The sequence below is a fragment of the Homo sapiens genome, chromosome 14 (genome assembly GCF_000001405.40).
Source record: "Homo sapiens chromosome 14, GRCh38.p14 Primary Assembly".
Lineage (NCBI taxonomy): Eukaryota > Metazoa > Chordata > Mammalia > Primates > Hominidae > Homo > Homo sapiens.
The window spans coordinates 79,069,004-79,096,499 of NC_000014.9; the positions used below are offsets into that span (position 1 = coordinate 79,069,004).

General features: G+C 38.0%; 1 protein-coding gene and 2 long non-coding RNA genes across 55 annotated transcripts in view, besides 1 other annotated feature; 1 reads left to right on the forward strand and 2 right to left on the reverse strand.

The window, feature by feature from the left end:
- The window catches only part of NRXN3 (neurexin 3), a 1,697,919-nt gene that overhangs the window by 898,631 nt on the left and 771,792 nt on the right, over window positions 1-27,496 (forward strand). The gene's annotated exons all lie outside the window — the stretch shown is intronic.
- NRXN3-AS1 (NRXN3 antisense RNA 1) lies at window positions 3,164-6,522 on the reverse strand. The gene is made up of 3 exons (XR_007064282.1): window positions 6,457-6,522; window positions 5,545-5,815; window positions 3,164-3,500 (listed from the first exon to the last, which is right to left on the reverse strand). It is a non-coding gene; the product is annotated as an NRXN3 antisense RNA 1 (long non-coding RNA).
- Window positions 8,196-22,491, reverse strand: LOC105370588 (uncharacterized). Of its 2 annotated transcripts, none has more exons than XR_007064284.1 (4): window positions 22,406-22,491; window positions 20,852-20,916; window positions 19,708-19,789; window positions 8,196-8,272 (listed from the first exon to the last, which is right to left on the reverse strand). It is a non-coding gene; the product is annotated as an uncharacterized LOC105370588 (long non-coding RNA). The 2 variants fall into 2 exon arrangements; XR_944064.3 differs by lacking the exon at window positions 8,196-8,272 and adding an exon at window positions 10,090-10,171.
- Window positions 22,278-22,977: an enhancer, noted in NCBI's record as "OCT4-NANOG hESC enhancer chr14:79557624-79558323 (GRCh37/hg19 assembly coordinates)". NCBI's record gives its function as "activates a minimal SCP1, AML or CMV promoter by ChIP-STARR-seq in naive H9 embryonic stem cells {active_cell/tissue: H9 hESC(naive)}" and the evidence as "EXISTENCE:reporter gene assay evidence [ECO:0000049][PMID:30033119]".

The following is a 27,496-nucleotide window of genomic DNA, read 5'->3' on the forward strand; positions in this document are numbered from 1 at the left end:
AGGGATTATAACATGGCATCATTTGAAATGATATGGTTCCCACTGATAAGGGGAGGATGAATAGAAGCATACACTGAATTTCTCTCCAGGGCATTGAGTTCCTTTGGCGACAGCACTGTTGGCTAAATATGAAAGGCTGTGAGATGAAATGGCAGCAAGAGAACAGCAGAGGAAAATGTAAGGCAAGGATGGGAAACACATGAGAAGTTTATACCTGACCATCTCTTTTCTATCATTGGCTTCCTATCTCCTATTCTTCTTCTTTGTCAATCTCTGTAGCCTCCACCTTTGCTCAAATTGGCTCAGTGATATGATTTTAATACTAAGCCCACACCCAGTTGGTATGAAGACATTAAGTAATTAATTAATTCAATAACTATTTGCTGATCTGAACAAAGTGGACAAAAAACCCTGTCTCTGTGGAATTTTCTTCCAGGCATGAGGGGCTTGGGAATGGGTAACAAGTAAGTAAATTATGTAACTTGTTTGACAGTGCTAAGTGCTACAAAGAGAAACTAGGTAGATAAAAGAAATAGGGACTTGGGAGGTTGAAATTTTATAAAAAAAAAAAAAGGTCAGAGAAAATACCACTTTTCTGATGAGTTAAAAAGCTATGACCTGCTAATTTTTATGTATTTATTCTGTGTCCATTAAAACTTCCAGAAACTTTCTCTTGAAGTGACATTTGAGTCTCAAGATCTGGCCCTGGTGATTATATTGTGACACACTGTGATCATTACAAAAATTTTTATCATCATGTATAACTGTGATGCTATTTTGCTTGCAGCCCAGACAATGTGATGGATTTATTAAAACATTCTGATAATCATAAGACAGTGATTCTAGGACATGTATTATCAGGACCTCTTCTGTACCTGTGTTTGGAGTTGCCATAGATGAAAGTCATATGATAAGAGAAAAGCAATATGATAATTTGTAAGTGAGCTGCTTATAATAAGCAGGATATGACAGTCAACATTTTTCCTTTTTACCTTTCCTTCCATCTCTACCTGTTTTCTTTGTTATAGACTTTGAGTTTTGTATGTGTCAGGTTTCATTCATTTGGGAAACCAATGTCACATCAAATTAGGAAGGATGTTATGACCCTCTAATTGGCCTTTGCATTGTACACAAGCCTCCTATGTTTGTTCGGGATAGCACCACGCATCCTTTTAAATTGGTAGTTTGACTGTCAGTTTCCGTAATGCCCTTGACAGTAAAACAAACACAACTCTATGTGATTCTATTATGAAACATTAATCTTCTGACTGTATGGTAAAAGGAAGGGGTGAGAGTTTCTCTCCATTCCCCCAAAGGAAGGAAGAGTAAGAAAGAAATTAAAAATGTAAAAGCACTCCCAATAACAGGTCATCAAGTCACAGCTTTTCATTGTGGCCACTCTTTGTCAGCTGTGTGTGTGACAAGAAACAAATCACAGCTCCATGATATTTGATAGCCTTGAGTAATTAAAGAGTCTTCAATGCTTTTTGGAAAATGTTGTCCAATATTCCAGCCACATGCAGTGCTCCCTTAATAACTCAATAACTCCACATTTCTCTCCCTGTGTGTGTTTGACTATTGCTATCCCTTTTAGAGATATTTGCATGTAATCAAGATAGAGTTCAAAGATTTACCATTTTCCTTACTATTATTCTATATTTGAATATCCCTCCCACTTCCATTTTTTTCTTCCGATAGGGGAAATAAGTTAACCAAAATTCAAACAAAAATCAGTTTTAAATAAATATTCCTAATAAGAATTATTATAACTACTACCACACATACATTTATGGTAGGAAAATTTAGAATCTGTCCTGGAAAAAAATACGTCCAGATTATTTACAAAGATTTGCTTTCAGAATCCCTCTTGAGATAAATAGACATGTTGGGGGTGATTCTGGGATGGAGCAAACATGTAGTTTGGGTCGCAGTTTAACGATGTAGCCGTAGTGTATTAAGGCTATGCATAGCAATTTCTCTTGCCCTGGAGTAGTTAGTGTCAAACTCTTTTTACCCATTAAACATTTGAAGTAGATTTATTAGCTCTAAGGATTCTTGGTTCTTCCTGAAAAGGAATTAAGAATCTTTGGACAGTGGACTTCTTGAAAATCCTATCAAATACCCCTAAGTATGTTTCTGGTAGCCTCTCGGTTGTGCTATTCAGTGATGAATAACACAGAGCTTGATTGTTCTAATTTAGCGGAAGAAACACATTTTTTTTAATGTGGTTTTTGCCATTTTCTATTATACTTTAAGTTCTGTGATACATGTGCAGAACATGCAGGTTTGTTACATAGGTATACATGTGCCATGGTGGTTTGCTGCACTCATGAACCTGTCATCTACATTAGGTATTTCTCCTAATGCTATCCCTCTGCTAGCCCCCCACTACCCAACAGGCCCCAGCGTGTGAGGTTCCCCTCCCTGTGTCCATGTGTTCTCATTGAGAAACACATTTTTTAAATACATAAATAAATATCACCCTTTTGTCATGTATCTTCATAAGCAATTGACCCAACCAATGGATTTGCAGTCAGTGAAAACAACTTTGGATAGATGGGTGGATGGATGAATGAATGGATCTCATTTATTTGTGGGAGCTAAAAATTTAAACAATTGAACTCATGGAGAGAGAGAGAGTAGAAGGATGGTTACCAGAGGCTGGGAAGGTTAAGGAACTTGGAGGGAAAAGTGGGGACGGTTCATTGGTACCAAAAAATAGTTAGAAAGAATAAATAAGATTTAGGATTTGATAGCCTATCAGGGTGACTATAATCAATAATATCTTCATTGCACATGTCAAAATAACTAAAAAAGCATAATTGGATTGCTTGTAATAGGATAAATGCTTGAGGTGATGGCTACCCCATTTACCCTGATGTGATTATTACACATTTATGCCCATATCAAAATATAACTTATGCCCCATAAATATGTACACCTACTATGTACCTACAAAAATTTTAAAGAATGTGAATGGTTGAATAGATAGGCAGATAGATAATAAAGTAATTACTATTTATTTTTGATTTCAGAAGATTTTAACAGGGCCCTTGATTATCATTCATCTGAGATCTACCCTTGTCTGTATGGCTTATTTGGGTTGTAGGTAAGAGTCATTCTTGAATGAGTGGGGGTTTCTGATTATTTTTAAACAGCCATTCAAGACCAATGCAGATACCTAGGAGGAAAATGTTTCTGATTTTTATGAATGTGTATGAAACCGGTAAATATTCATAACATAGCTACCAATATATGCTTCTGCAAGCCAATCTAAACAAATTGCCAGTATCAAAGATTCTGTTGATGAGGAATAGACAGCCTGTGTTTGCAGTCTTGTTAAGGTGGTTAACAGTGGTGTCCTGATTTTTTCCAAAACCTTCCAGATTTGGGCTGCTGAGTAGATGATGCTGACTTCCGATACTGCTTGTTGTTGTTGTTTAAACCATTGAGCAGGTTACGAACCTCTGAACTTAAACGAAAGAAATCAGTGGTTTCAGCTGGAATAAAAAAGTAATACTATGGTATAGCATAACGGAGATAATACAATTTTTGTGGTTTTAAAACAGAGAAAAAAGTCCCTCTTTTAATGCAAAATCACCTGTAACCTTGAATGTATCAACCAGTGTGACTTAGCTGATAATTTAGGCCTATTTCATAGAGCTGTTATGAGAACTAAGTAAAATCATGCACATACAAATGATTAGTTACTTTTAAAAACTGTAAAATGCTTGCTGTTATTGTTGCTGGATTGAAGAGTTCATTGTGATGGTGCCATTCAATGACTATATGACTAAGATGATCATCCTTTGTACTCTGTCTCCCCATCTCTCCTCCCTCCCTTGTTTTTCCATGTGGTATGTGTTTTCTCTCTCTCTCTCTCTTTTTTTTTTTTTTGAGACGGATAGTTTCATTCCTGTCGCCCAGGCTGGAGTGCAGTGGTGCAATCTCGGCTCACTGCAACCTCCCCCTCCCAGGGTTCAAGTGATTTTCCTGCCTCAGCTTCCTGAGTAGCTGGAATTACAGGTGCCCACCACCACGCCTGGCTAATTTTTGTATTTTTAGTACAGACAGTGTTTCACCATCTTGACCAGGCTGGTCTTGAACTTCTGACCTCAGGTGATCCACTCGCCTCCGCCTCCCAAAGTGCTTGGATTACAGGCATGAGCCACCGCGCCCGGCCCGTCTCTAAGTTATTTTCTAAGCTAAAAGTCATGCTACTGCAACCAACGGATATCCCCCCTTTTTTGGAGATACTTGGTAATGTAGAAACTATTTCAGAGAGTCAAAATTCTACAGATAGAGTTTAGAATGCACAAAATCTAGACATGGCATTGAGGCATCTAGATATTGCCTTTACCTATTTCCTGTAGGAACTTGCTCCAGATTAGTATCTTAAAGACAAATTGGCATTTATTTTTCTTACACACATTGCATTGTGCCATGTAAGAAAATTACAGATTAAATCAGCATTTTCCTCCTGCTTGATGTGAATAAAATCAATGCTGAAATGGGAGTCCTAGTTAATCTATGTGATAGAAGTTACTAGGACCAGTGTTTGGTGGCTTAGGTCCTTAAAGAAATTGGAAAGCTCTTTGCAATACAGTGTGTTAACAACAGCCTTTTCTTTTTATTCCCTTCCCTTTGCAACTGTTCCCAGCCCTTCTTTAAAAATCTAAGTCAGAAATATATTGAAGGGCTTTATTTCTATCCATTTTTTTCTATCTGCACATGGCTGTTGATATTCCTTCACTGTCTTGGAGCTATCAACTATCAGTCTTTTGTAAAGTAGCATACATAGTAAAGTATCAAGAAAACATTTTCTCAAGCCAGACTGCCTGTGCTCAAATTGCAGCTCTGCTACTTACTGGCTGAGTGACCTTGGACACGTTATTTAACCTCTCTGTGCCTAGTAACCACTACATAGGAGGGTATTTTATAAGGATTAAATCTCTGTAACACACGTAGAAAAGTACCTGCCATATGGTAGGCACAATATACATTTTTGTTAAATAAAATGAAGCTTAGTAGTTTACCTGCATTGTTCACATTATCTAACACATTACCTTCCACATCGTAGGTACACAATGAATATTATTAGTCATGACTTATACATGACTAAATGTATTCTTAAATTGGAGTGGTACAAAAAACATATGGGTCCATTCCACATTTCTACAAACTAGCTCTGCAGTCTTGCACATCAAATTTTAGTGTCTTTGGAGCTTCCTTCTCATCTTTAAAATAAAAATATTTGCCCAATGTATTTCAAAGGGTAATTTTAATGATCAAAATGATAATGTACTTCCAATGAGTTGAAAAAATTATTTCTCTATATGAAAGGTATTATAACATTTTTATTTCTCAAATTACTAAATCAGTTCTAGGGGAAATATGCTAGTAAAATAGTTAAGGCTTGACAGATATAACTGGTCCAGAGGTCGGTAGTCATCATGAGTACTAAGACCTAGATACTAGGGGTCTGTGTTTGTTCTTGAGAATACAGCAAAGTGTTTCAAGGAAGGAGGCTTCTCCTTTACTTACCAGGCCTGTTCAGCTGTATTTGGCTACTTCTTGTTATGGAAGGAAACCTGAGCAGACCTTGGGAATCCAGTGTTCCTTTATCACATTCCTCAGATCTGTTAGGCTGGACGCCAAGGACAGTAGTTTGAAGGTGTTTGTCTTGATGCTGATGGATGTTGCAGTCTGTAATCCACGAACTGAAACAGGGCTTCTCTTCATTGCAGCTGGCATATCTTGTTGTGTTTATGAGTCTGACAGGCAAACATATCTGAAGCATATCTCATATGCTGATCTGTGAGGGAGATAAGCCCCTTGTTTTGCTTGACTGGAAACAAAATAAGCAGGTGGCAGAAAACCCTGCATTGATTTCTGCTTGGGCTAAAACACCCAGAATAAGATCAAGTCCCCCTTGGGCACACTCCAGCCTCTGCTATTTGATCATTGATCATTTGACTTAAGTTTGCAAATTGTTGTAGGGAAGTGTAAGTTTCTTTCTGCTTTAACAAAGCTACTTTTACTTATTTTAATTTTATAAGCTATTAGCACTATTTTGTGATAGAAAAAACTAAAAATCAAATGGTGTCAGAGCTTAAAAATCTCTTACTTCATTTGCCGTGTAATCTTTATGCATTTGATTTTTGCTTCAGGATCCTTACCTATAAAGCATACCCATTTCATTTGACCACTAGATTTTTACAGAATAAAAATAGTTCCTTTCTGAAGAGGAACTATGAAAGTGTATACATGGGTTAGGAGATGGAGCTGAGGACTCCAAAGTAATCAGTCCCTGATAAGAACTTGAGTTTTGATGCACACATTATTGCATTTTAGAGATTTTGGTCTCCCAGTTAGATTGTAAACTTATTGAAGGCAGTAGGACATTGACAATGCATAAATATTAGTTAGGAAAATGAAAAATAAAGTGTTGCTTACCAATTCAGAGATTCAGAAGAATGTGGATAGGATTTTTTCCCTCTCACCTGAAATTTCGACTTTATAAACTCTTTTTATTACTGTCCTTCCTTTTCTGATCCCTTGATGATTATTAATTGGTTCCAGTGGTGTATATTTCAGATATTTAATTAAGTCTTCCTTTCTGTCCAACTCTCTGCCAAAACATATTTTTCATTTTTATACCTGCAATGCTCAAACATAAGTTGATGCCAAATGCATGCTGTTTGATTACATTCCATCCAGATTTACTTCCAAGCAGGACGAGGCCTGTAGCATTTATTTCAAGTAGCTTTACAAAGAGCCATTCTTGGCCCTCAATGTGTGTGGCAGGCGGGGAGGCAGGAGAGGAAAATGAGGTAGATGTCCTTCCCATACCTTAACTAGTTTTTGAGAGAAATGGAAAATGGCAGATCAGATGCCATTGGCCGTTTGCCCAATTAAGCCATAGCAGTGTTAGCTAAGATGTGATCAATATGGAAGACTTGGTCTGCAGAGCCTTTTTTAGCTGTGCTCCTGTACTAGTCAAGCACCTCCTGCAACTTTGTGGTAAATTCAAGCACCTCGTGCAACTTTGTGGTAAAAACCATCCTCATGAGTTAGAGCCTTGTCTTATAAGAAGGAAGAGGACAGCTTCTGGGTGAGACACGTGCTGGCCATCATGCTGTTGCCTAATCTGTCACCTCAACTATTGATTCCCAGCTCTTGATTCTCATTGTTCATTCATGGAGTTGTTTCTAAATAATGGTGACTAGAGAGGAGGAAATGGTGTTATATTAGTTCTCTATTGCTGCATAACAAATAACTCCAAAACGTAGCAGCTCAAAAATCAACAAGGCATTACCTCCTAATTTTTGCAGGTCAGGAATCCAGATGTGGCTTAGCTGGGTGCCTCTGGCTTAGAGTCCCTCCATAAGGCTGCAACCGAGGTGACAGCCAGGGCTTCAGTCACCTCAACTTGGGAGAGATCTGCTTCCAAGCCCTTACCTATGGCTGGTGGCAGGCCTTAGTCATTGTGGACTGTTGGCCACAGATAATACTTCATTGGCACAAGAGCCTTTCTACAGGACAGCTTACAACTTAATAGCTGTCTTTGATTGAGGGTTGGGGAGAAGGTGGAAGCCATTGTTGTTTTCAATCTAATCTTGAAAGTGACATCCTGTCACCTCTACTGTATTCTATTCATCACTTAGAAGTGAGTCAATAAGTATAGGACATTTAAGGGGAGGGAATAATCAAGGGTATGAATACCAGGAGGCTGAGACAGTTGGGAGCCACCTTATAGACTGCCTTACACAGGTGTAAAAAGCATGAAATAGACATTAGACAAATGCAGGGTCTGCTGAGATGGCGTGTAAAAAGTTCTATCACAGGGCTTGCCACAGAGTAGAGAAGCATTGCATTTATTTCTTGCCACCCCCAGCACATTGCCTGGTGCATTGTGGGCACTCAAGTACCTACATGCCCATGAAACTGTGTCTAGTTTACTAAAAACAAAGAGTCTCTCTGTTCCAAAAGAGATTAATGTTTGGTGTTATCCTTTCTGGACAATTTTCTTCCTATGCTTCATTTCTCCAGTTATCGTCAAGGGAATGGATTTAAGTCTGAAATAAAATCACTCAAAAATAAGGAATAGCTGAAGCAGACCTAGAATTACCTTGGTGGAATTACCTTCTTAAGAACAATTAGAAGTTTATTCTTTAGGTCAGGAATGCTGTTGCCAATCTTCCACAGCAGGTGATAAGAATTAAATTCCCTCATGACCGAGGAAACGTTCTTTCTGCTAATCTGGTTCCACCTGGAGGTTCAACAAATAGAAGATAGAGCACACGGTGTGTTTAGTCTTAACCACATAGCCCGAGGCACTGGGGAAGTGTCCACACGATGTTTGCCTTCTGTGAACCTGGAAAGCAATTTTTTTCTAGTTTTCCTTTTTTTCCTCTTCTTTTCCTATTCATCTGAATTCTTCTGTAGTTAAATTATTAATTTCTCTCCCTACAGAATATAATAAATTACTATCCTTGTTAATTCTTTTATCAAAGATATGTACTAGGCTTCTGCTTCCACATGGGCCATTTGAAAAACAGTGCTTCATATGATCCCTGAACTTTTTGGCAATTATAAAGAGAGATCACAAATGAGTAAGGTTGAAAATTAAACTATAACTGGAATGAAATGTCCTATAGGACTAAACCTATCAGTTGTATTGCAGATCAGCCCCTTATAATTGGTGATGTGGTATGAGACATTTTATATAACTATAATATATAGGCCATAAATTATTATTATATCAGTCTGTGGTATAATATTGCACCTTAGGGTAGAATTTGCTCCATTTACATTATATTCAGGCAGAAAAAATGAAAACATCTGTCAGGGAGAGTATAGCCCTATTGATCAGGTATATATAAGTAAGGTTTACTTATATAAGGCTGAGAAAAGGGGCTTTCCATTTGATTTCAGTTGTTTTATAGACAAGTTTCTAGTTTGAGGGAGCTATTTAGAAATGTATGTAGCCTTATGTAGAAATTCCAATAAAGCTTTCAAAAAATAAAGCTGGTATTTATATTGGTTGAAATGGCAAGATAATGAGTCTAAAAGATTTTCCCTTCTGATGTTATTTTTTTTGTTGTTCAGAATGACACTTGAAAGATGCCTAGGATTTCTACTGCTGCTCTTAGAATCACAGGATCTCAGGGTAAAATCAAACTTTAGAGGTCATTAATTTCAACCAGCCATAAAGGTCTTTTTGTCAAACTTATGACCATTCAAGATACTTTGGTGTCAAAGTAGCTCACAAGATAAAATAAATCACTCGCATGTTAACCCATAGGAGGTTAAACTTTTGACAGCAGATCTGTGGTGGTAGATACCATGTTTTCTACTGTCCTATTGGAAATGAGTGTTAGAGGCCCATTTCCACTACAAATACTGCCTAGTGGCTGACTTACATGGTAAAAATCCATCCAACCTTGCTCTGCATACATTCCAGAACTCTAATGCAAAATGATGCCTAAACCATTTTAACTCTATCCATGCATGAGGACACTAAGTAAGATGAAGCTTGTTTTGATATATACACTTTTTAAAAAGGTAGAAGAATAAGAGGTGGTAAAATAAGTTATTCAATTTATTGACTATAGTAACAACTTGGCTCTGATTGTTAATGTTTGTCCCTGCCATGTGATATATAGTTGTGTGAGATTAAAAACCCCCTTGGGTATAATTTTATTTACACCAACACATATATTTTGAAGAGATGAATGACCAATTCTGGGAATAGTTAGAAGTAAAGAATTTGAATTTTCTGCAGCACTGCTGCACGTTAGGTAAATTCCTCTCTTTGGGCCTCACTTGCAACACCAATAAAGAGAGGAAGTTATACTAGATGTTCTATAAGCCCCTTCCAGCCCTAACATGCTATTAGCCCATGATTCTTGTGTAGGGATACCAGAAGAAGATGAAAGAGAGAACCTAACTCATTTTCTGTCACCAGTCCTTATAATTCATGGCATTGTGTATTTCTCCTTGAGTCAACATTGCTTCTTTTAGTGACACAAGCAAGCCTGCTTTCTCCAGCTCCTCAGGAGGCAACTCTGCTACTGCAGAACAAAGATCATTCTCTTCCTGGCACTCTTCTGATTCCTGGTACCTGTATTCAGTTTCACATTCCCTTTCTTGTTGAGGATGCCATTGCCTATAGAAAGATACTTTAGGTGAATTACCAGGCAAACGTTACTAAAGCAAAGATAACTGATAAGGGGGACTAGAATCTTGGAATTTGTGCAAATAAATTCCTTTGTGAAACTGCAGACTGATTAGAAAACTGTCATAGTAAAATACTTTAAGCATGTCCTTTTCTCATTTTAAAATAACAACTGGAAGGAAAATATAAATATATCACTGAAATAATGGTTTCTCCATGAAGAAAAAGACATTTAGACAAACCAAAAGTGTATATTCTATGGTGTAGTAAATCATTACCTTACTATATTAGGTTAATACTTGATAAAACCTTGTAGTGAGATAAATGGTGATATGGAGAACTTAAATCTTCAAATGTATGTTTTAAGCCCCATTATAGCTATTTTTTTTCAAACTTACCTACTATAAAGTTTTGTCCAGAGATATTCCAAAAAAGAATAATAGATTGGTATTAATGTTTCTGCCTCTTTTACTCTTTGGAAGACGTGCCAATAGGCAGGTAAAGAGATCAAAAAGAAAAAGTCGGGCAGGGTGCAGTTTCTCACACTTGTAATCCCAGCATTTTGGGAGGCCGAGGCGGGTGGATCACAAGGTCAGGAGTTCGAGACCAGTCTGACTAACATGGAGAAACCCTGTCTCTACTAAAAATACAAAAATTAGCCGGGCGTGGTGGTGCACACCTGTAATCCCAGCTACTCAGGAGGCTGAGGCAGGAGAAATGCTTGAACCTGGGAGGCAGAGGTTGTGGTGAGCTGAGATCATGCCATTGCACTCCAGCCTGGGAGACAGAGTGAGACTCCATCTCAAAAGAAAAAGTCAAACTAGATCACCATTTACTTAACAAGGAGCTGTTAGTGTATTAAGAGTATTATGCCATTCAGTCTGATTAAACCACCTGAAGGAACAGTGGAACCTCTTCCTAATCATTCCCATGTGAGACTTCCTGGGAGACAGCTGGGGGCAGCCAGAAGCAAGTAGCTAGAGAGGACTGTGGATTTCTTTGTGAGGAAATCTGAAACTGGCCACTTTAAGGCCCCTGGGTTCTACTGAGGTTAAGCGTCTAAAGTGTCCTTGACTCACTCAATTTCAAAGCAAATTCAATTTGATCTCTTGCCTAATAATAAACACTGGGCAGAAGCAGACATGGAAGGATTTGGAAAATGGTGTTAAAAGATCAAAGAGATCTAAATAAACTATTTTGTTTGAACTAGAGTTACCAAGTAGAATAGATTGTTTTACCATAGATGGAGACTCTTTGAGAAGGAGTTAAAATTTGTGGGAGATCCCCAAAATAATGGCAGTTCCCACACACACTTTTCCCCCAGAGTGTATATAGGGGATATATACCACTTTCTCACCTCCTTTTCCACTTCTTATCATTGTTAGATCTCTAGAAAGTTCATGTAGCTTCTTTCTCCTTTGTCGTTATATGTTTCAGATACCTCACCAGCTTCCTTTGCTTTCATTTACCATATCATAGTGGTAATTTCCTCAATTCCTATATCCTACAAGAGCTTGATGAATGAAAAGAAGGAAGCCTGTGACAATTATTTTATTCAAGCCTCCAAAACAGAGTTTTGCCAAATGCTTGTCCTACTTCTCCGTGCGCTTGCCATGGTCTTTGTTTTGCCTCTTTTTCTTTTGGCAGTTACCCCAACTATAACTGGAATTTCCTGATTGATGAAGATTTAGTGGTCCAAACACAGTCAGTTGTCTTTTGGCCAGAAGGAAATATACATTATATAATCCGGTGGTTTATCTTCTTATCCCTCCCCCATTAACTTTTTTTTGTTTTGTTTTGGTTTTTGAATCTCTGCTTCCCTTCTCCATCCCCTAAGCAAAAGCATAACCAGCACGTTTTTTAGCATTTAGTAGATACAAGCCTAGCATTGTGCTAAGTATTTTGCGTCTATTATCTCACTAACTTTTCAGAACCATCAATGAAGTTAGTTCCTTTATCATCCTTATTTTGTAGATAATACAATTGAGATCCAGTGAAACTATAGTTAGCAAGTGTAGGTGCACATACTAAAACCAAATGAATGACTTGAAATCCCAAGTGGTTAACATTTATTCCAGAATACTTTCCTAATCTGTGCCTGGCACTGCACTAGTTAATGAAAACAGAGTGAGAAAAGATATGATGTGTCCAGCCAGGTGCGGTGGCTCACGCCTGTAATCCCAACTCTTTGGGAGGCCGAGGCGGGCAGATCATGAGGTCAGGAGACCGAGACCATCCTGACCAACATGGAGAAACCGTATCTCTACTAAAATACAAAAAAGCAGCCAGGTGTGGTGGCATGCACCTGTAGTATCAGCTACTCAGGAGGCTGAGGCAGAGGAATCACTTAAACCCTGCCCAGAGGCAGAGGTTGCAGTGAGCCAAGATCGCCACTGCACTCCAGCCTGGGCGACAGAGTGAGACTTTATCTCAAAAAAAAAAAAAAAAAAATGATATGATGTGTCCAAGCTCTTTGTCTAATGAAGGAGACAGATGTCAAAAAGATAAATTACTATACGGTACAAAAATGCTCTTATAGAGGTATGAGCAATGTTCTATGGCAGACAAAAAATTAGAAAGAAGACACCCATTTTCCTCATAGTAAACCAAAAATGATCTAAAATATTCCATGTTTGTTAAAAAGCAAGATCTTTATGGTTACTGTTAGGCACTGCGGTATGCCTCCCTGGATTGTCAATACCAATGCCATATAGATAGAACAAATAGTTTGAAAAGACATGAGGACAAAACAGTCTCCCTGTCTCCCAAATAATAGATCCAAAGAATTCTCTGGATTTGAATTTAATGTTCAAGAGAGGGGAAGGCATAAATATATAAACATATATGTTTCATACATATGTGTATACATATATATGTTTCATACATATATATATACATATATACACATACTTATATATACATACATAAATATATTTATATATCCACTTAAAACATATACAAAACTACCTATACATATATACATCTATATATCACATGTTTCAAGAAGCTGTTTTCTACTAACATCTTCATGTACGTAAAATTTAGGTGTTTTATAAATTTATTTGACAGAGCACCCCTAAACCTTTTATATACACACCTCATCAGATGGAAGTAATATATAAAGGAAAGGCACTGGCTTCATTCTTCTATTTTTAAAAGGAGTGAAAACATTTTTGCATTTGCCAAACTCCTGTGTATGCAAACTAATTGTGTGTGTGTGTGTGTGTGTGTGTGTGTAGACACAGCACCATTTTTGGTGAGGATGGCACAGGGGCTCTCAAAAGAAGGAGTTCTCAGAATCATAGCACCAAAACGTTGTGAGTTTGCAATAATCAGAGTCATGGTGAGCATCATGGAAATTTAGAACTAAAAGAGATGTTACAGATTATCTCCAGTCTGAGTCCCTGCCACACATGAGAAACTAAGGCCAAGAGATGTTAAATGGCTTGAACACAGAATGATCAGTGGAACAATACCTAGAGCTTCTGTCTTCCAAATGAGTTCTTTTTCCACCTTATCATGCACGTTACATCAGGCATGAATACTGGAAATCTTTCTAATGTAGGGACATCCAAGCAAAACAAGTTGCATACATGTCATAAAAAACTTTAAAAAATTCAGATTTACTTCTGGCAAATTCATTCAGGAATTCAAACTCAGATAATTAAATTAATTTCTTAATATTCAAATAAAGACCAGATACACATTGACATCATCTCTCTTGTATATTCAGAGTACCAGATAAATGGGATTTTTCACTAGGGGGACAGGATTGCTACACTACACCATTGCCATTTGCATTCACAACACGGGATGGCGGAAGAGACATTGATACAACATTTTTTCTGCCTCCTTCATTTTTAAATGGATGGTGACATGCTTCACAGCAGCATCTCCAAACAAAAGATGACAAATTCCCATTTATTTTCCATCAGTGGTACTGTGTGAGATGTTGTACTAAGTCTAAGCTTGTTGTTCCTGAGGCACAGAAGTCTTTTTCCTGCAGCATATAGCATTACTGTAAAAATAACCATTCCATTGCCAGTCACTCTGTCAGGAGTATTGGCAGAGTGAAGAAGACTTATTTGATTTCACTAAAGCTATTAGTTTGAAATTCTGATCTGTAAATCTGGATGGGAACCACACGAGGGAAAGGATCCCTGCCAGAAGCAATGGGTCTTGTACATTCTCAAAAACAAAGGTCAGATGAAAACACTGGATTGAAAATAGAGCCCTAGAAATGAAGCAAGAAGGAAGGAAACTTATATTGAGCGTTTGTAATGTTCCAAGCATTCTGTTAGGCTGTTTACATTATGTACTTGAAACCGTCAACTGGATTCATCTTTTCCTTCCTTTTTCCACCATTGCTGGCATGTGTGCAAGTGGGGGACCCAGGGAATAGAGACTACAATGTAAAAAATGGTTTCGCTGTTATCGTTGTCATGTTTTCCTATGTAAAAAATAGGATAATGTGACTTTTGCTGTTGATAGATGTTTCTTCAAGATCCCAGTAGAGTATTTTGTGACTGGAAAATTTCTAGAATCTTGAAGGCAAAAATAAGTGAAACTGTAGAGAAGTGTAGGAAAAGTCATCAGGGGTTTTACATAAAACAGTTTTTATTAAATCTCCTTTGGAAGGGAGAATTACAACTATCTGAGCTAAGTTTTGTTGTGATATGAACGATAGTGACTGCTAAAAGGATAGCATGGGAAAGTTTTTTGTTTATTTGTTTGTTTTTGAGACAGGATCTTGCTCTGTCATCCAGGCTGGAGTGCAGTGGCAGGATCACAGCCTACTGCAGCCTCGACCCCCACCCCTAAGCTCAAGCGATCCTCCCACCTCAGCCTCCTGAGTAGCTGAGACTACAGGCCTGTACCACCATGCCTGGTTAATTTATTTATTTTTTTTTTTGTAGAGATGGGGGCCTCTATATTGCCCAGGCTGGTCTCAAACTCCTGGCCTTAAGTGTTCCTCATGCCTCAGCCTCCTAAAATGTTGGGATTATAGATGTGAGTCACTGCACTTGGCCAGCAAGGGAAAGTTTTGAGGAGTGATGGAAATGTTCTATATCCTAATTGTGGTGATGGTTACATAAATCTATACATGTGTTAAAATTCATAGAACTATACACCAGAAGGAAAAGGAACCCTTCAATTTCACTGCATGATAATTTACAAAAATAAAATTTCAAAAATTCCAGTAGTCAACTCTAAGCCAATAATATGTTGGACTATGTCTAACAAAAGGGATATTATTTAAAAATATTGCCAACTGACTATCATTAAAGCCTAATAAATAATAAAAAAGTACTGTCACTCCCCACATGAGACAAAATTGTCATCTTTACATTTATTTCTTAAAATTATTCTTTCCTGGCATCTGTAATCATCTATGGCTTCTTCATTTCCTATGCCCCTCTGCTGTTTGGAAAATCAGAAAATAGAAGGCATTTTGGCATTCAGGGTGATAGGTAAATGCCCCTATTGTACCTTCTAATAGGTCAAATATGGTGACTTTGGTTGGTTCTTATTTTTGTTATTTCTCCAGTCATCAATCGTATTGATTTTTTTAAAAACAAAGGTCAAGCACATGTTCGTAGGTGACACCAGTTGCTTCAGTGAGTTGGTCCCTTCTGCTTACTGTTCTGGTTTAAACCCCTTGTGGCATTTTCTACTGCATGGATAGTGGTAAATGGGGTTGATAGTGACATAGAAATGAACTTAGAAGTAAGTTTATAGACTGTTGGGGACCATCTGTTAATGTAAATGTTTAAGGTAAAATGCATTAAGGCTTAAGAGCTGACGAGACGTTTTATTTGCCTCCTGCTTTTGGGATTATGCCTGGCACCTGCTTGAGTCTAGAGGGTTCCTGGTTAAACTTGGGAAACCTGGTTTCCTCTTTTATCTGCAGCTGTTCGTTTTCTGGGATGGAATCCTAAGCACTTATTTGAATTGTATTTGTTGAAGTCACTGGGTTATACAGTAAAAATAAGGAGTCATGTTGGTTTTTGTTCGAAGTTTTAAAGTATGTAAATTAAATACATTTATATGGCTAATTGTCATTTATGGTTACCTACTGTTAAATAGTTGTTTAATTTGTTGTCTTCAGCATTGAAAAGTTAAGCAGTATCCCTTAGCACTATCAATGTCAGTCAAGATAACAGTTCATTTATTTCATAGATTACTTTGATTAAAATCACTATTAAAGCTATTTGAATTATATTATAATTTTCTGGTGATGTCATAATAAAGAAGTTTTTGAACGTGCCCATTTTATTTTTAACGCTTCAATGTGTATTACTGGAGAAGAAATTGAAGTAACATATTTTTACTGTTAATGGGAAAATGGTCTTCTTCAAAAAGGAAAAATCAAACTTACCTCCTAGATATAAATCAATAATTTTCATTTCTAGCATTAACTTAGTAGTTTAATGACTTGGGCTTATGGAATGATTTTTTTTAGACCACATCAGACCTACCCAAGGGAAAGGAAGCACAAAAAATAGGGAATGATACGTAGAATTAGATGGCGAGAAGAAACGAGGAGAGAGAGGGAAAAAGTCTGAATGCAAGACTATTGAAATAAGTGAGTAACACACTTTTCCAGAAAAGATTCATATTGGAGTTTTCTAGAAGCCTCTGAGTATGATGAGGAAAAAGAAGTGATTAAAATTTGAATGGTTTCCCTATGGGCGGATAAAACTACCTGTTCAGCTGGAATGATTCTGATGACCTTGCCTCTGAAGCTTATCCTTTGAGATCAGCAAAAAAGTTCATGTTCTCATCTCTCATTTGAGCTGGAGTTGATTGATGCATAATTAAGATCCCTAAGGAACAGGTGCAAAAGCTGCAGCGCTTCTAGATTCATCCATTTCTCTCTACTTTTTAAAGACCAGTCTCATGATTCTAATACTATAAACACTTGGTGGCTTGGTATTGGGGGCAGAGAGCTTCCGGTAGGATGACATGAGATAGGATGTCATCCTGCCACAGGGAATAAATTCTTGGATGAAATTCTACAGGTCATTTAGCCCATCTCCTATATTGCACAGGATAGGGAGCTGGGGACTCCTGAGGCAAAGTCATTTTCTCAAGGCCGTGTATCTGGTTAGAGGCAGAGGTAGGAAGGAAACCCAAATCTTTCTATTTTTAGACCATTTGCCTCTCTACTAGGCCATCCCTCGCTTTAACTTGGGATCTTAAGCTTCCCTTGTAATTTCTTGAGAGTAGGTTTTAATCTTCCTACTGTATGCTCTAGAAACTATATGCTGGGGGAAAGCTGAGGGGATAGCATAGAGTAATATCCAATCTTGAATCCTTTCTCTCATTTTAAATTGTGGTGTTTTAAATTAGCATAGGTAACATAGAGATTATTACTCAGTTGACCACTTTGCACTTGATCTGAGGGACATTGCAGAGTCATCACAGATTCTTGAGTTATGAGGTCAGTATTTAATGAAAGGATACGTCGAAGGCTTTTCCTTAACTTTCAAGGACCTGTGGGGATAGTTTCTACTCAATGCTTCTTTTTATTCGCTTTCCTAATAAAACTAATATTTAATTATAAAATTAAAATGAAACAAGTTTGGACTTCCGTATGAAAAGTCTTATACTTGATCTGTAACTACAAGATGTTAGATGTTCTTCATGGAGATGACAGGCAAAGGTTACTTTTACAGTTCTATGAAAGTAAAAAGCTTTTAAAACATTTGAATGGGAATTGGTAAAAGAAGCAGTTCTTAATTATGTCAATTGTCTGTAAGAGCTCAGGTGATTATGGTAAACACACCTGATAACAATAACTTAAGAGAGCAACAATAACTTTACAGCAGACACACCTGAATGTTGGTGGGAGTTCTGAGCTAAGGAACCCAGAAGTGGCCAACCTGAAGATCAATTCCTTGTCTACGAGGAACATCTGATCCCCTGGCCTGTCCCTTGGAACATGGGCCATACAAGGAGTTGAGGCCCTTTGTTTTGGATTAAATGAAGGTTTCCAAGCGGACGTGGTTAGGAGGAGGGTACTAAGTGAAAATGTGATGTAAACTGCCTGCCTTTTGCAAGTGGTTCTCCTGTCTAGCCTGCTACCTCTGGACTCTCTCCCCTGTATGCAAGGCCCCAGTAAAACCCCAGGTCTCATTTGCTGGCTCTGGGTCTCTCCTTCAGCCTCTTGAACATGCTGCCATCCCCGGTGGAGTCAATAGGAAGTCGGCACAACAGACAAGGAAGAGCTGTCACCTTGCCTGATAAAATAATATTCTAAAGGGGAAAGTACATATTTATAACAACTGGCAAGCCTTATGACTTAAATGAACAGAGCTCTGCTCTATGGAAACACAGAACCAACAGTGCCAGGTATGAATAGGGAAAACTTCTTGGTAGTGGTGATACCTTATTAGAGTCTTGAAGAGGGCATATTTCCTGGTACAGAAAAGGGGGAACACTCAAGTAGAAGAGTAAAGCAGAAAATATATAACTCTCCATTTTCTCAGGAGGTCTAACTCATTACAGTTCCATTTAACCCAATCAAAACCAATGCTCCCCTTTCCCTCACATCTTTACCGCATTCTTTTAAAGAAGCATACGCACAACTCTTTGAGCAAGAAATATCAGGCAACCGCTGCCATCTTAGCTAAAAAATCTTTTATGTTTGAGAACTTACCTGGAAGAGTCCTCTGGAGAGAGAATAAGAAGATGCTTTCAGTTGCACTTGGAGAGAATGTGAGAATTAATCGCCTGCTTGTTTGGGAAATAACAACTAGTTGTTTCTGGTTAAAGCAACACCAGTATTTGGATGAGTTGGAGCAACGTCAGAATGATTGGAAATTGCTCAAAGCTCACAATGGTACTTGAAGTAAAAGGATGAACCCCTTCAAGAACAATGCTAGGTTCTCCTTTGCTACATGGAGGGCAATGGCGCATGATAGGCCAGGGAGAAAAGAATCACCAGATCCTTTGCCTACTTCTGCCAAATCTGTTGCAATGTTTCAGATAAATCACTTGAACTATCTGAGCTTTGAAGTGCTTCAGCTTCCACTCAATAAGAAAAATTGTTTGAACCTCTCTCATTCTGCTCACCATCTTACCCTTCTCCTTGAAGATCAGCTTAAAATAAAGTGATTTGAAGCCCCAGGTGAAATGGGAGCCCTTTACTACCTCCTGCTAAAGGTGGTAAATGACTGTGCCCAACTTTGACCTCCTCTAGTTAGCAACATCATTCTAAACTTAGCCCAGACAGAAAAGGATGACAGCAAAGGTTTGAACACTTTTAAAGGCCTCTCCCTTTCCCCAGAGTTCTTATATATCTATGTATATGTGTATAATATGTTTGAATATTTTATTATAATTATCCTCCTTAAGAAAAACAAATTTCTTGGATTTTCCCTATGACTTGGGCTTAAGAAGTCTCTTAACAGTTCCTCAGATGTAGTACCTGCGGAAGGGAAGGATTAGGTTAGAATATATTCAAAGTTTGTATAAAAAAGAGGGTAAACTAGTCATTTAAATGTAAACATATAAACACTTACTTTTTACTGTGTTGGCTTTGATATTCTTTAATTTCTTTGTTATATCAGCCCTTTTTTTATGTCATGTTGAAAATGTGCCTTCCTGGTTAAAAGGATGGATATTTGGAAACAAGGCAGTTTGAATCACAGCACAACTATTTAATTTTAAAAGACACTTTTTTCTAACCTATATAATTCTTAATTGTTCTGGACATGTAGGCTATTTCAGTGAAATTTAGAAAGCAAGGCCATTTCCTACAGCTAAGCCCTTTAATGATAATTATGACACCAACCCCCAAAGACATGGTTTCATGGCTAACAGATCACTCTCAGATTTTGTGGGGATAGAGTGTTGGTAGCAGGAAGCGGCAGAGGAATTCAACTCCTTCTTGAGCTTCTTGTGTTTTATAATCCTCCCTATGTCCCACCTGTTTTGTCTCAGAGGGGATAAGTCAATAGAGCTGCTGCTGTTCACAAAGCCATGCAGGTAAGAGACATGTACCCCTTGCTTCAAAGTCTTAGTAAACTTATAGAGAAAATATGATTTGATTGCCTAACAATATATTTATAATTTACATACCAAATAAGTGAAACGTAAGGAAAAAACTGCTTTGAGCTCCCGAGAATGCTAGTTGATAGCAAACAAGGAAGGTGCTTTGGTAAGAAGGTTGTTTGCTTTGAGCTTCCATGGATGAGAAGAAATCAAGTAATCAAAGAGGAGGAAGAGGAGGAATAAAAACATAGTTGAGAATGGAACAGTCAGAGACATGTGGGCACTATCTTTTCAGATAGGAATTTTATCTTTCTTCCTTGTTCAACAGTTATTTCATACACGAATGAGAAAGGCCAAACATAGTCATGAACGTTTGCTTTTTTACCTTCTGCCTCTTCAGTTTTTCAAGAAACACTAAACTCGCACCTAGGAATATTTTGACAAGCTTAGAAACTTTTTCAAAAAATAACTCTTGTATATGGCAAGATGTTACTAAAATCAGATTTTTTTTTTCCCATGGAGACGATGACTGCAGAACTTTTCATTCACACCCTCAAACTCGTGCAGAGAGAAGCCAAGATCTTTCTTCTTCTGCACATTTTTGGCATCATTCAGTGGACTTGAAAGAAACACAGAAAATTCCATGGAGAAATATCTTAAACTCCAGCTCACCTCTTGGCTTCTTTCAGGAATGCTTATTTGACCTGAATTAAAATGATGACTTTTCATCTCTCAATCTGAAGCATAAATAAAGTAGGAATTTTGCATTAGGATTGTGTTTTTTAAATAATCATAAAACTCATATTCAAGTACTTCCTTGAGGCCTCTAAACTAACACATTTTGGATTGCTATAAAAATAGAATCAGCTTTCCTTTGCTAACATGGATAGGTATTTATATATCAATTTTATAGAGGACTGACTGTACTGTAACTTTGGAAACACCTTCTCTTTTTAATAATAAGAAATGTTGGCTAAGGGCTTGTCTTTCCTGGTTCTAGATTAGCTATGATAATACTCATCCCCTTATGCAGAAAAGCTGCTTTTAGACTTCTCATTGCTTCCCAGTTAATATAACATAGGGATTATTAAAGTCTCTGAGTATGCATTTCTAGATGTGTATAGCATTAGATGAAAATTCCTTAGGCCTTTGGAAATTCTTCCTTTCCCTTTTAGAGAAGAAGATATTATCCTGGCTATCATACATAGCAAGTTATATGCATATAAGATAAGTTCCCTTTTGCCATGAAATCAATCTTCCAGTTACACCCTGGGTTTGTTCTTTCTTTTCTCATCTTGTTCCTTTGCTTTTCACTTCTCTAATTTTACCCATCAAGTGATCATGCATCTGTTTTTCACCTTGCCCTACAAACCTCTCTTAGTTGCTTTATTCTCCTTCCCCAGTGCTTCTGTCACCATGGCTTCATATCTGGCCCCACCCCTACCCCATCCTATGCACTATTCAAAATCTTCATTCCCAGCCATCCACCAACTGTCAGCAGAAGAAAGTCCAACTCTCCAGCCTCTTTAGAAAGCAGACTTTATTCCCCACACTACATAATGCATAGTAGGGGCTCAGTGATACCAAATATGCAGATCACATAATTAAGTCCATAGCACTGCCTAAACATACATGGTATTTGAAGGAAATAAGTCCTGTCATGGATGTTGACTGAAAATTTCCCAGCATTTACAGCCTAGAATTTTTAATGGAAACATAAAGCCCCAAATTTGGAGATAAAGGAGCTACAGAAAACAGCAGATGTCCCAGAGCACACAAACCATGTGGCCAAGAGCAAAAGGGAACTCACAAGGAGGTGTCTGTATTACGAGAACTCGTGCCCAAATTCCTTTTCTGTGAGAAAACAGTACCATATAATCCTTTTGTCTCAGTAAAAAAAAAAAAAAAGTGGTCCAAAGCAGACAGAATGGAATATGCATTCTCCCTCCTTTACCCCTAAAACATTCTGTCTTGATCAATTTCATTTTTTTTTGTCAGGTGCACTAGATGTTATAAAAGCACTTAGCTTATTGCCTGGTACATAGTTATTTGAAAAACTTTGACCATGGAAAAGGCTGAAGAAAGCTAAGAGTATTCTATATAAGGTCTGGAATGTCAAGATAAGAAATTTGCATTGATCTAACAGGTAATAAGAAGCTCCATACCATATTCTTTTTACCTGTATGTAAAAATCAAGAGGAGTTAATACAAGTAGTATTTTATTACCAAAATAGAAGTTGCATCTGGCTCAGACTCAGCCTCTGATTCCTCAGGAGGTTTTTCCCACCCCTTTCCCTATTCCTGCTTTCCAGCTGATTTGACCGAAGGACAGAAGGATTAAGAAATCAAGTAGCTTATCTGAGAGGTTCCCCATGGGGCGCTTTGTCCCAGGTGTTCCTGCTTGGAGCTTACATAATCAGGGGCTTTCTGCATGCTGAGGGTATTATTGTAAAGGTGATTGTTTAAGTCAGTGGGTGACGGTGTCAGGATAATTATAGCCAGGAGATATATGATCATAAAGACCTAGTTAGTACCCCAGGAGACCCCAAGACAGGGCTTCTGCCCATACTTTTGCAATCACACATTCTGAAGTAAGGTGGCACCATTTACCAAGTAGGAACAAAAGTGAATGATTAGGGAGAACTGTTTGTTCCAGTGCTCTGGGGACAAAAAAAAAATCCATGTTAATCTTTTCTAAAGTGTCCACTTTTGTTATGTTTATATTTTTGTTGAGGTTCTTTGTTCACTTGCAACTAAACCAACACGTAGAACTGAATGTGATTTCTACTGATCTAGAAAAAAATAAAGTTATTATTAAAAAGGAAATCTAAAGGATGATAAATTAGCTGCATATTTTTCTGTTCGTCTATTGTTTTCTATTTTCTCTATCTTAAGGTTGTTTATAATAGACAGTTCTACATCAAACTTGAGATGAAATTAAAGTTGTGAAAGATTTATGATGTGTGTTCCAGTTATGGCCACCAGTTCTAATATGCAGGGAACACGTTTGAAACGGGATCACAGTTGACTATTAGGATACAGGACTATTCTTTTCAGCAGAACTAAAGAGAAGATCAGAGACCTCTCTATTTTTTCTCTCCCTGCCTCTTCTTTTGTAATCACATGATTAATACATGCTATTGAAAAAGGTTTCAAAATGTAATGAAGAATATCAAGAAAAACATAGAAGTCCTTTCTGACTATCTGCAACCTTAGTCGCCTCTCAAGTGGGAACCACTGTTAACATTTCAATGTGCAGATGTCAAAAACCATTTGCTCTGACTTTACAAACAGGAACGTGCATGCACACACACACACACCCTTGCCCTAAAAGTTTTAGTTTTAATAAATGGTGTATACAGTCAACATATGTCCTGGATATCTCTCCCTGTCTGTACTTGTAGAAATATGTAAGTTCCATTTAAATTCAAAGTCAAATACAATTTGAAGTTTTGCTGAAGCTTCTTTCTCAATACATGCTTCTAGATTGTAGTGAATAAGTGACTGAAATCAGCTAGCCAGTTTCTACCACAACATGATAGCTTGGTTTTATGGCTAAATGAGCCCCAGGAAGGAGTGTGAGAAACTCCCACCTTGCTCCATTGTTCATGAAGGACTTGCATGGTGAGAGACCCTTGGGTCTCCTTTCATCCCAGTTTTATAGTAAAAAGATCAAAGATCTTCCCCAAAGTCTCTGCCCAACTGGGTCCCCACCCTGTTACCTTCTGAGGAGTCTAACCCTGAGTACTGCTGGGCTTTGCAGATCCTAGAGTTGCGGGTTATGAGTGTGTCCAGAGAACCAGAGTATGTCATCTGGATTCACTCACTCATTCACACATTCATTTATTCACACTCAACAAATATTTATACCATTATTCATAGGGCAGACAGTGAACATTAAAAATGTGAAACAATAACATACAGTCCATTCATTGTCAAAGGATACTACAGATCAAGGAAAGAGGCAACTTCAAGAAAGTATGATTAGTACATTGACCAGCCAAATGTAGAAGCTTCTGTGTCAGACTTGACAGGGTGAGGGAAAGCTTCCTGGACAAGAAGACATCTAATTGGAATATGGAAGGATGCTTAGAATCTAGCCAGGTGTGGGGACTTAAAGGGTAAAGCAAGTGCTACCCAGAAAACGTAAGTAAGGCAGATCTCTTTGGCCTGAAGTCCTCATCAAGGAGTTTAAGCTTTATTCTGAGAGTCATGGGAAACAACTGAGAAATTTTAAGAAGCAAAGGGACCTGATCTGTAAGATTTATACAATGGAGAACAATATGGAAAAGGAAAAAGACACCATTAGGATGCTGCTGCGGATGCTGGGGTGAGTGATGTTGATGGCTTTAACTAAGGGAATGGCCCTGGGACCAAAGAAGTGTGCATGTTTTCAAAAGTCATTTCTTGCTTTCTGCGAGCGAGCCTACTAAACTGCCTAAGCACACCGGTTAAGTGTGGCAACTTTGAGAAACAGCATAAACCATGGGTGACATTGCAAAACTGAAAGCACTTGGTGCAGAGGTTAGATAAATATCTGTTTCTAGGGGGATATACATGTGTGCATTCATTGTTTTGTTTTCAAGAGACAATTGTGCCTGAGGCTGGAGCTTGCTCACCCTATCTTTTGGACTCAGAGTATGGGGCCTGGTCTATTTTCTACATGACCGGGCTTTAGTTCAGAACTGACGAGTCATATATCATTCTGATTGATTTTTTTTTTCTTTTTTCTTTTTTTCCCCTCTCAAATAAAGGGGTTGCAGGGGTGAGATAGAGATTGCTATGAACCATCAGGGCAACTCAACCCAAATATGCATTTATCAGGAGCCCCCTAAGTCAAGCTCTCCTGTCCTCACTTGGTTTGTCTACTCAGAGCTGAGATAAAGAAATAAAGGGTTAAATGAGGTCAGTTAGTGGGTAAAGGACAGAGAAAATAGATGAACAGCCCAGCTTGGACTGCTCTGATCTCTGCCGGGGAGAAATGGTTAGAAGGGGACATGGCAGAGTTACAGGATTACCAATCAGTGTCCTAAGCAGTGGGGTAGAGCTAACCCCTGAATTGCCTACCGTGGCTTACCTTGCTTCTGAATTCTTGGGTTTGGTTTCATCTGTATCCTCTGTTTTAGCCTTCTTTTTAGTGCCACTCCAAAGGCAAGGACCACAAAGCATAAGCATCCATTTTTATTAAAGCAGAAAGGTGAAGACTTAAAATGTGCTTCTGTATGTGTGCATTTTTAAAGCAACCCTTTGTAAGAATGAGTGGATTTAGCAAAGTAGATGCGATTGAATCACAATGGAATACATGCCTCTTACTCGGTCTAAAGTCCCTTGGTTCTGCAAAGTTTTTTATTCTCTTTTCAAACCTTATGCAATTGTGACTTCATCTAAATTATTGATACAGTTCTAAGGGATTAGTATCTTCTGACGGCAGTCTGTTCAATATATTTGTATTTTTTACCCTTGAAGGAATATGGGACTGTTAGGGTTTTAAAAGAAGTCTGAGTTTTTGTTTGTTTGTTTGTTTTGTTTTGAATGACAGTAAATATCCATTAAAAAGCTGTAGATTTGCAGCCTTGATGATTAGCTCTCTCTTAGACTCCAGCAAGCCTTACTGAATTTCCTCTGGAGATCAAGTATTGAGGGGCAAAATACTGGGGTAGAGTTGAAAGCAATAGAGAAGATTTGTTGACAATATCGATGATTAAAAAAATGAGCCTTTTTAAACAAGAAATTCCTGCTCATACATTTGGCTTCTGAGAGAGAGAAAGAGAGAGAGAGAGAGAGAGAGAGAGAGAGAGTGTGTGTGTGTGTGTGTGTGTGTGTGTGTGAAATGGGGAAAAATATCAATGCATCAAAATGGACAGGTCATTTTGTTGAATGTAACTGAACTCCTAAGCATTCAGAGATTAGGAGTATTCATAATTTCTGACTGGCATGCATTATGCTAATGTGGCTGTCCTCTGTTGTATGCTTCTGCTGAGACAGCCACTTTACTCCTGCTTAATTTTCTCCCTAATGGTAGCAGTAGGGACTTGGGTATCTACAGTGAGCTTTTACCAATTTAACTTGCTGCCGCTATAGGCCGTTATAAATTATTATTCTTATTTAGCACTTGAATCTATAATTTCTTTCTTTCCCTCATGTTCTATAAAATATAGACTTAGACCTAAGTTAGCTATGCTTTTCCCTTCTTATAAATCTAAATCTTTCATTTGCAACGAGCTAAAGTTTTGGATGCTCAACAACTGTAACCCCTGCTTGGCAGACTAGAGAGTTATCAAGGAACTTCATTCATTCATTCATTCATTCACACGTGCTTGCCTTCATACATTTATTCATCTCTGAATGCAATAACATATTTACAGAGCACCTACTATTTTTTTTTTTTACCAGGCAATGCTTTAGGTGTTGAAGATAAAACAGTTAACAATATCGATTTGTGGGAAGAAGTACTACCTATAATGTCTAGAAAATACATGTGAGATTTGAAGAAAAATAGCTTCTCCATACTGATATTCTCAAAGTAGTTTTTCTCCCTAATTATCTGTACACCTCCACTGGAATTCTTGCGAAGGTTACTTTGCCTTCTGGATTTTGAAAAGTTGTCTTTGATTTTATTACTTTCTCCCTAATGTCCTAGGGAAAATATTTCCTTCCTTCCTACTGATTATTGTTTTAGAATTTGAAAATTACTGGAAACCTATATATGAGTATTTTGTTATAAAAATTCATGTGCATTTGAACAAGCACAAGAGTACTTCCTATGCTGGATGCTAGATTCTAGAAAATTTTAAAAATTTTTTACCAGTCTCCCAGTTGTGATATTCCCAGTTAGTTAATTGCTTTTTCTGTCTCTTTCTGTTTCTTCCTGAGGCCCCTCCTCCTTCCCTGCCTCTCTCTTTTTTGATTTTTTAATTTTATTCTATTCTTTTTTTTTTTTGTAGAGCCAGAATCTCCCTCTGTCACCCAGGCTGGAGTGCAGTGGCACCATCTCGGCTCACTGCAACCTCTGCCTCCCGGGTTCAAGCAGTTCTCCTGCCTCAGCCTCCCGAGTAGCTGGGATTACAGGCACATGCTGCCACAACCTGCTAATTTCTTTTGTATTTTAGTAGAGGCGGGGTTTCACTGTGTTGCCCAGGCTGGTCTCTAACTCCTGAGCTCAGGCAATCCGCTCACCTTGGCCTCCCAAAGTGCTAGGATTACAGGCATGAGCCACCGTGCCCGGCTTCCGCCTCTCTTTTTTTTAATGAGCAATCATAAGTTATTATCAACTAGCATGCAGGTAATAATTTTCTTATCTTGTTACTTGTGTTCCAC